Here is a 9,870-nt window from a genome sequence, read left to right as displayed (position 1 = left end):
TTTGATCCTAAATGCTTCTTTCAAATGCAGATGAAAAATCAGGATTCAGATCACCTAAGGGGGAAATATCCTCATGAGTTAATATCATAAAGTGGGCATTTCAGTTGGCCTTATGTAATGTAGGCACTTGGAGAACTTGTAGCAATTGTGAATCATTGAGGAGGGTGAGAAAGTGAAGATGGGAGATAAACATTTTCAATTCTTGATCCCCTATCCTCACCCTTTAAAATATGGCAGCCACACAATTTCTGAAGTATTTCAGAGCTGAGGGAATCAACTGGATAGAAATGTGGGCAAAAGTTGGGGCCCAATGTAATAAAATTCACTTATAAATAGAAATTTATTAAGTCTTTCTGTTGATTATGGAGGGCCCCCAGGAGCTCCAACTTTGGGCGCAGGATTCCAGATGTTGAGAGGCACAAGCTCTTCTGATTATGCAATGAAGATAAGATTATCTCTCTTCTCATCCACCTGCAGAGAAGCAGGATTTCTGTTTTGATTGACAAGGCTGTGTTTCTACTCGTACTTGGAAAAAACATGTTTTTATTTGTGTGGTAGACAACCTGTTTCTATCATTTATTTATTTCAGCTGACCTATGGATAATCCAGCCCCAGCCCCAGCCCCAGCCCCATTTTACAGATGAGGAAACTGGGACTTACTGAAGTCATGTATTTAATGAAGGGTTAAACTAGGATTTGAACTGAATCTCTTGATCTTAAGGCTGATGGTCTCATTTGTTCCATCATGCAGCTGCCTCAGGCCTGTGCTGTATCCCTTTATGCCACACAAGGTAAGGTTTTGATTCATGTTAGCACCATTGAGCAGATGATTGGTTGTGTTTGTGGGGTGATGGATCCTGCCTAACTTCCCTGAAGACACATACTTTATTCTCTGGGTAACAGTGTGGCCCTACCACCCCCACCCCCAAATTTGAGCATATAATTGTGGTGTCATTATCAGATTTTTAAACTTTGTGAGCAGATGAGGTGCAGCAAAGGAAAGAAGTAAGTTCTCAGTCTCCATTTTATGAGGATGGAACAAAGTGAGAGGGATAAAAATTCTTGACACAGGTAGTGTCATTAAAAAAGAGTTAAGGCAAAGCCCCAGATTTTGGCCTCTCCTATCAGTGCCCTTTCCACCAGCCCCTGAAACCACCATCTACTTTATATTAAACCAGAAAACTTCATGTGCTAATCTAGAAAACCCTCCTTCTAAGCCCAACTTGCTGTGTGGTTAACAAGGAAAATTCCTTTAAAATGGCTTTTTTCTTACTCGGTGTTTTTAGCATCAAGTATAGTTATTTACATATTTTCATTTGCTACTCGATTTATTTTGGAGACTGACACTTTTACAAGCTGACATCTCAGCATACAGACACTTCTACTTTGCTGAATGCAGCCAATAGTACTTACTTGATGCCACGCTGAGCAAAACCTAGTTAAAGGTTTCTCTTTGTGCAGCAATCCATCACTCCTTTTACAGTTCTTCATCTGGATGAGTGTAAAGTGCCTCCTAATTTTGGCATCTGCTACCTGCCTTTCTGGCTGCTGCCTGTCGCTTCCTGATATCACTCTGTCAGGTAGACTCTTGAGGATTTCATTGCTACTCAGTTGTAGCAAATTCAAAATTGTTTAATAGTTTTTTTAAACTCCTATTAGAATAATTATGATGGACGAGTGATTAATAGGCAATTAGGTATTTAAGTAGAAAACTGATCAGTTACTGTCAGTTGGTTATTCATTTATTTATTCTATTTGAAAAACATTTATCATTTGCCTTTAATGTATCATAAGATTTAGGGAAAAAGAAGTGCCACTTCCCTCAAGGAGCTCTCAGTATAATGAACAACGACATGGTCATCTGTTTGATAAACCTCTGGAATAGGTCACTTTCCCTCCAACTTTTCCATCCCTGCTGCTTCTTTCTTTTCTTCCATGTCTTTCTTTGAGGGAATAGTGTCATACAGAGAGACCTACACTATAACCTCATTCTATGGCTTTTCTCAAACCAAAATGTAACTGTCTGTGCTCCTTTCTCTTGGGCTCTGTTTTCTTTTTTTGGGGAAAATGGACTAATAATCTGATAAATAAACTTATATTAGTGTGTTCATGCCATACACTTCCAGGTGCCAGATGTGACTTTTGAGGGGGTAAAGTTTTTAAGGTGCTATGGACATATAAAACAGCATTTTTTAGGTCAGATGTTGGTTAGGCTGCTTTATTAGCAACTGAAACAATTCATGCTTAAACAAAATAGTAAAATCATTTCCCTCTTATGTGAAAGTCTGAGCTAGTCTCAGGGCAGTAGGGTAGCTTTGTTCCATGAGCTGATCCAGAGGTTTGGATCCTCTCTATCATGCTGTGTCTCTGTCCTCAAAGGTGTTGACCTCATCTCAATGGCTGCTGTCATACCAGGGTTTCATCCCACAAGGAGTGGAAAAGAAGACATGGACAGTAAGCAGTTTCCATCAAGGGCATGACCTGGAAGTTGTACAAATCACTTTTGCTTAAATCTTATTGGCCAGAATAAACACCAAGGTCACAGGTGTTTTATTCAAATACTGGAAAATATAGTCCCTAGCTGGGCAATTATATGCCTAGCTAAAACTCCAGAGAGAACTTTCATTAACAAAAAGAAGACGAGAGTGAATATTAGGGAAAATTAGCACCTCTGCCTCAATGTATGTGTAGAATCTTTCAGAAGGGAAGGGGTATATGGACTATCTGAACTCAGAGGTGATTAAAACAGAAACAATGACCCTGTAATGCAATATTTCATTGTAAGTGGTTAAAAACCGATTATGTTTCAATTGGCTGCCAATATATTACTTCCATTCAATGTTTTCTGAGGAATACCTGGTCACTAAAAACATCAATTCCAGCTGAAATTTGGCACATTACCTCTTTAAGAAGTGGTTTTATTTTGTTGAGCGCACCTGAAATGTCTTACTATTCCCTTGAATTTATCTGTATATGTCTAGTTAGGCACCTCTGGTCAGCCTATTGACCAGAGCTGTTTTCATAATGATGATTGCTTATACCCTGCTATGGAATCAAAGTCATTCTCATCTAATTTGTTTCAAGCCCTTTCAACAAATATATAATGAGTGCCTACTATGTGTCCGGTATCAGGTGGTGATATAAAAAGGTTCACTCTCTTTTTCAGAGTCTCACAAGGTAGGAGGTCAGACTGACAAAAACATAAAAAGCTTTGAATACAGGGTGGACTGTGACAAGTACTGTGCTAGAAACACAAATGAAGTGCTACAGGAACACAGGAACAAAAGGCAGTTCTGAATATGAGAGGCAGAGGAGACTTCATGAGGCTGTGAGATTTAAACTGGAAAAACGGATGGCATTTTATTTGGCATGAGTGGGACAAAAGCTCTTCCTGGCAAGCTTACACTTAAGTAGACTGATGTTGCTGGAACTTAGTGGGTAAAAGCCAGGGGAGGGGAAGAGAAGACTGTTGTGAAATAAGTTTGTATACATTAATTTTGGAGTCAAATCATGGAGGTCTTTGCATACCAAAGGAAGAAGCAGCTAAGAAAACTCTGGGAGCAATGTGTGGGATAGCTTGTATTGCTATATACCAGGGCAGAAGTGTACGTGTGTGTGTTTGGAGGATGTGGGGTTTTTGCAAAAGAGGGACTAATTGAGAGGTGATATTACTGGTTTAAATGAGAAGAATTAAGAGTATAAATTAGGACTCGGGCATAAGTATGGATGTGGCACAAAGATTATGAGAATTTGATAACAACTGGCTTCGAGGGTGAGAGAGAGAGACTAGGATTGTCAGTTTTCAAGCCTGTATTCCTGAAAAGGTGATAGCATTAATCAAGATAAAAAACATAAGTTAACTTGTGTATGTAACTGGAGATATTAATAGCCACTACCTCCCACAGCTATTGTGCAAAGGATATCAAAGGACCTTGGAAAACAAAGTGCCAAATGAAACGCGAGATGACATTTTAACTTACACATCCGGTGGGCTGTCTGCAATGCTCCTCCCTGGTGACAGGGACCATGGCTGTTTTATTCCCTGCCCCCGTATACCCAGTGTGTGGAAGAAGGCTAATGAATTTTAACACAAAAGGATCCACAAAGTCCTTAGTAAAGAAACATGTTAAATTTTGTTTAACCCAGTATTTCATTTGGCCCTGAACCCTTTTGATGAAGATATCCTGTAAATGTCTCACAGAGTATTTTCTAGAATACCCTTTGAGAAAAACTTTGCTAGGGTGATGTGGGATTCAGAGTTAAATGAATAAGATAAAAATTCTAAAGGGAGGAGAGAACTGGTATAAGTCTCTGCGTCTGTCTGTCTGTCTGCATATCTTTCTCCATCTAGCAGAACTAAAGGCAATGAGATCTTTGGAAGAAGTGTCCCTTAGCAAAGACATAGCCACAAAGAGGAATGAATGACTGACCTCTTCCCCCACACCTGATCACAGGTTTTAAAAGACTCACCATCAATTTTAAAATGTGTCTTTAAAGCTCTAAGTATGGCCCTAGGACTTTACTCTTTAGACTCAAGTTCAAGATGATGGTCACAAGCATGTCCTGGAGGCAGTTTTCAGCACTTTAAAAGCTTCATTTAGTTTTCAAATGTTTATCTGTGCTCCCAGCACCCTGGAAGGCCAAGAGAGGCTTTCAGAATTCAATAGAAGTGCACAAAAGGAATGGGGCCCAGGACCTAATTATTACTATTATTTTTATACTATACTGGCTTGGTTATAGAGGAAAAACTGTAACACATGTACACACAGCAGGATTTATACTTTATCTGTTCTATGGAACCTCTTTAAGGGATGGATAATATAAAGAAAAAGAATGTTAATGCAAAAAATATCAGTATTTTCTATTCCTTCATATGCAGGATTTTAAAAAAGGAAAGCAGTAAGGAAAGCAGTACTTTTTTTGACATATTGTAGTAACATAGCCTTTTGTAAACTAGGCCCCACTGAAAAAATCACAAGGTATTTTTAGTAATCTCTGCTTTATATATGTCAGTCAATATGTTAATACCTCTATTCCATAGGCACTGTTTTACAATTATCAAGCCCGGAGTCAAAGCCTTAGGTGTTTCATGGTTACACTAAAACCCATGTTCTGTTACTATTTATTTAATAACTAGTGGCCATGCTTGCCTTTTGTCAAAAAAGACTGTTATTTCATGAATGATTAAAGTGCTAGAAACCTAAGATTTATGACTTTCTTGCTCAAAATGCTCATGTGGCTCTTGGCTGATTAAAGGTACCCATCATTGAACATATTTCATTTACAGTGTAATTCTTGGGTTACCAAGGTAACATTCAGGTTAATCAGCTGTACCACACTTTGCCTAATTGAGGGAGAGCACTTCAGCTCCCACTTCAGTCCCTGAAAGATAACAATCGTTTTCTTTCATTTTTTCAATCTGACATTTGGAGGCTGATTCAGATGCTCTTGACTTCAGAACCATTTCCCTCTCTGACGCTGACATAAGGTACTCTGCCCTCATATTAGCTGTGCTTGAATAACTGGGTTTTAGAAAGGCCATTTCCCTATTTGTTATATGTAAATAGAATCACACTATTATGTACTGTTCTCTGGAATTATGGTAAGATGATTGAAGTTAAAATTTTGTATATTAGCATCAGCACATTGAAATGTGTTTCCTACTTATTCTTCTTGGCTTTCTGAGTGTTTGACCATTTGAGTGGCTATGAACAAGAAATTTTTATTTGGAGAAGGGGGTTGAGAAGACTTGGTTGAACTTCCTAAAACTTTATGACCAAAGCTGTTAGGCAAAATTTCCAAGTGTCTTTTAACTCTCTTTCTCTTCTTACTCCATCTCCCTCTGAAAAACTGTAAAAAGTTACTCCATCAGCCAGCTGCTGCACTAAGTAGTCAAATACTAGTTACCATTATTCAAAGTTAAAAGTCGATAACTGAGGATAAATGTTTTGGAACTGTTGAAAACAAATATATGATCTATTAATATTTAGTATCTAACCTAGAGAACCATTGTCTGATAAAACCAGTCTATGAGATCATGCAAAGTCAAAGCTTTTAAAAATTACTCTGTGTCTGCACAAGGTGCTGATACTTAATTACATGAATTTGGGCCTTGACTAGCAAGATCGCTAAGTAAAATTTGAACTGAAAAAATTAATAATGCACCTTAGATTCTTTGAGTTTTCAAGACTTTCCATATGAAATTCTTATTTAAGAATTACTTATGCATTCCCCTTGCTGTTTTCTTATTGCTAGATTTGGGGAATAATGGTTGAAATAATGTTTTGTTTTGTTCTGTTATTATTTAATATGACTTGTAATTTTTTTTAACACAACAAGTGAATTGTTGAATGCCAAACATCAAAACCACTATACTCACACCCCTAAATTAAAGATTAGAAGCTTCATTTTGTAAGTATTTGGAAGCAAGAGTTTGCACATGCTGGAAGAATTAATCATTATCTGGAAATGTGCAAATCTGGCCATGTCATGTTGACTTTATATCATGAAAATATGCATTAGCATTAGCAGCATTTTCTGGTCCCCTGTGTTGTACAGAATGGGTGAGTTTGGGGTGAAAGTAAATTGTGCCAATTCACAAATTCTCCTGGCTGTGCCCAAAATGTTTGCTCTCCGTACTTAACCCCTTTGTCTTCTACATCTTTAACTTAGAAATATCCTAGCGACATCTTCCGTAGCTTCTCAAGGTGGTGGTGATTACTGTGATATGAAAAATGATCTCACTGACTTGTGTTCTATAGAAAGTTATAGTTCTTTCACCTCGATGAATAGGATATTAGCCCTTTTTGTATAATACTTACTATAAATATTTTTCCTAGTTTGCTCTTTACCTTTCAATTTTAATTCTTTCAAATACTTTGTATTTGTAGTTAAATCAGACAGTTTACTTGTAATTTCAATCAAACAGCTTTTATTGTGTGACTTATCTCACTGTTTTAGCTTAGAATGTTCTCTTTCTATAATTTCGGTGTTTTATACTATGTATTTTCTTCTAGCTCTTGATAGATTAATTTTTTTTTTTGAGAAGGAGTCTCGCTCTGTCTCCCAGGCTGGAGTGCAATGGCATGATCTCAGCTCACCTCCAGCTCTCAGGTTTAAGTGATTCTCCCTGCCTCAGCCTCCCGAGTAGCTGAGACTACAGGCACCTGCCACTACGCCCAGCTAATATTTGTATTTTTAGTAGAGACGGGTTTCACCATGTTGGCCCTGCAGGTCTCGAACTCTTGACCTCGGGTGATCCACCCACCTCGGCCTCCCAAAGTGCTGGGATTACAGGTATGAGCCACCGTGCCTGGCCAGATTATTTTTCTTAATTTTATTTTTAAGTTTTATGGGTACATAGTAAGTGTATGTATTATGGGGTACATGAGATGTTTTGATACAGGCATGCAATGCATAGTAATCACATTATGGAAAATTGGATATCCCTCCCCTGAAGCATTCATCTTTTATGCTTTAAATAATCCAGTTGTACTTTTTCAGTTATTTTAAAATGTACAATTAAATTATTATTGACTATAGTCACCCTATTGTGCTATCAAATACTAGGTCTTATTCATTCTTTCTATTTTTTTGGTATTCATTAAATATCCCCACCTAATCCCCAGTCCCTAGACTGGCCCTTCTCAGCCTCTGGAAACTATCTTTCTATTCTGCTAGATAATTTTTTTAAATAACCTAACTTTTAAAACTCATCTAGAATTTATGTTCCGTTATAAGATAATGATATTATCTTAACATTAAGATAAGATAACATAAGATATTAGGAGAAGATAAAGTGGCTTCTTTTCCTATTGGGTATAGCAGTATTGACTGAGTCAGTATTTCTCTCCTCTACTGACTTAGGCTTTCTCCTTCGTCATATATTGCATATTCATATGATATAATTTCCGAGCCATCTATTCTGTTCCATAGACTTTTCAGTGTATTCTTGTGCTATAATCATGTCTGTTTTAATTGGTATTAGTAATTAGTATTAAATTAGTATCAGTAGGGCTAGTATTCTAACAAGGGATGAGCATTTCTTTTTTGTAGGTATTTTTTTGAGGTGGCATTTGATGCCACATTTGATGCTACATTTGATGTAGCATTTTTTTGAGGTGGTGAATATCCCAGTTACACTTGTTTGAGCTTTACAAATTATATGAATGTATTAAGTTATCACATGTGCCTGAAAAATATATACATCTATTTGTATCAATAAAATTTTTAAAAAATTGTCAAAGGACTTAAAGAGAGAATTTTCCAAAGAAATTATACAAGTGACCAACAAGCACGTGAAAAGATGCTCAATGTCACTAATCATTAGAGAAATGCAAACCACCTTTCACTCATTAGAGTGGCTACTATCAAAAAAACAGAAAATAACAAGAGTTGGCAAGGATGTGGAGAAAGTAGAATCCTTGAGTACTGCTGGTAGAACTGTAGGATGATGCAGCTGCTGTGGAAAAGAGTATGGTGATTATTCAAAAAATTAAAAATTGAATTACTGTGTAATCCAGCAATTCTCTTTCTGGATATATACCCAAAAGAATTAAAATCAGTATCTCAAGGAGATATTTGTACATCTATGTTCATAGCAGCACTATTCACAAAAGCCAAAAGGTGGAAGCAACCCAAATGCCCATTGACAGATCAATGGATGAGAACAATGTGGTATATACAGACAATGGAATATTATTCAGCCTTCAAAAGAAAGGAAATCTCTATATATTGTATAATATGAGTGAACCTTGAGGTCACTATGCTAAGCGAAATAATCCAGACACAGAAAGACAAATGGGATATATAATTCTACTTCTATAAGATACCTAGAATAGTCAACTCATAAAGACAGAATGTAGATTTCTCCTTATCAGAGACTGAGTGGAGAAGGAAATAGGGCATTTGATGGATGTAGAGTTTCAGTTTTGCAAGATGGCAAGAGTTCTGGAGATTATTTGCACAATATGAATGTACTAAACAGTACTGAATTAAACACTTAAGAAGCATTAAGATTGTAAATTTTATATTACGTGTATTTTACCATCATTAAAAAAATGCAACCTGTATTGTGTATATTACAGATTTTAAACATGAAGAATCAGTCATCCCAGAATTTATTTTTAAATATTCCTTTCAGTCTTTTTCCTTGTATGCATATATTTTTAGAATTATAATTATAAGATGCCTACATTGTGAATGTTGCTTTTCCACTAAACAATTTATCAGAAAAAAGCTTCTTAATTATAATTTTATTATTAACTTATGAAATGGTATTTATATAAACCCATTTGTATTTAAACATATATGCAGGCTCAAGAAGCACAATAAAAACATATTTACACCATTTTAGATTAACTTTCCTACAGATTTAAATAATTGCTTTTTGCTTTATTTCAAAACTTCTCAAAGTAATGTTTGATACATATGTGACCATGCCATGAAACCTGGTTTTAGAGAATTTGCTCAGTTCTAAAAGCAATCTTCCATAAACTTGGGTACAAAACAAAAAGAATAAAAATGGAAAAGTGTGACGTTTTTTGCCCAAGTATTAATAAGGAAATAATGAATATTACTGAGCAATAAGACCATTTTTCTCACCTTCTCTTCTTTGCTCCTTGCCTCTTTAAAGAATACCTTTAAATTTAATTATGAATACAACAGTTTTGGATGACACCTTTCAGTTATTAAGGGATAAATTATATATCCTTCAAATAGTCATCATGATTCTAGCAATTATGAATTCAAGAATGTTATCTCTTATTTGGCCTAAAACCTGAATCCTCGTTTGAACTTAATATTCCCCTTGTATATTTATTGTGCTATAAATGATACAGGAGACATAAACAATCCATTTTATTCTAAAGA

The 9,870-nt window shown here is 36.1% G+C and overlaps 1 long non-coding RNA gene across 3 annotated transcripts in view; it reads left to right on the top strand.

The window, feature by feature from the left end:
- The first annotated feature begins 595 nt into the window (after positions 1-595).
- Positions 596-9,870, top strand: part of LINC02787 (long intergenic non-protein coding RNA 2787) — a 35,944-nt gene continuing 26,669 nt past the window's right edge. For all 3 annotated transcript variants that reach the window (XR_001737796.1, XR_947593.1, XR_947592.1), the window contains exon 1: positions 596-791. This is a non-coding gene — a long non-coding RNA (long intergenic non-protein coding RNA 2787). The remainder of the gene's footprint in view (positions 792-9,870) is intronic.

Source organism: Homo sapiens, chromosome 1 (genome assembly GCF_000001405.40).
Source record: "Homo sapiens chromosome 1, GRCh38.p14 Primary Assembly".
NCBI classification, from domain to species: domain Eukaryota; kingdom Metazoa; phylum Chordata; class Mammalia; order Primates; family Hominidae; genus Homo; species Homo sapiens.
This window is presented reverse-complemented; position numbering and strand designations above follow the sequence as displayed.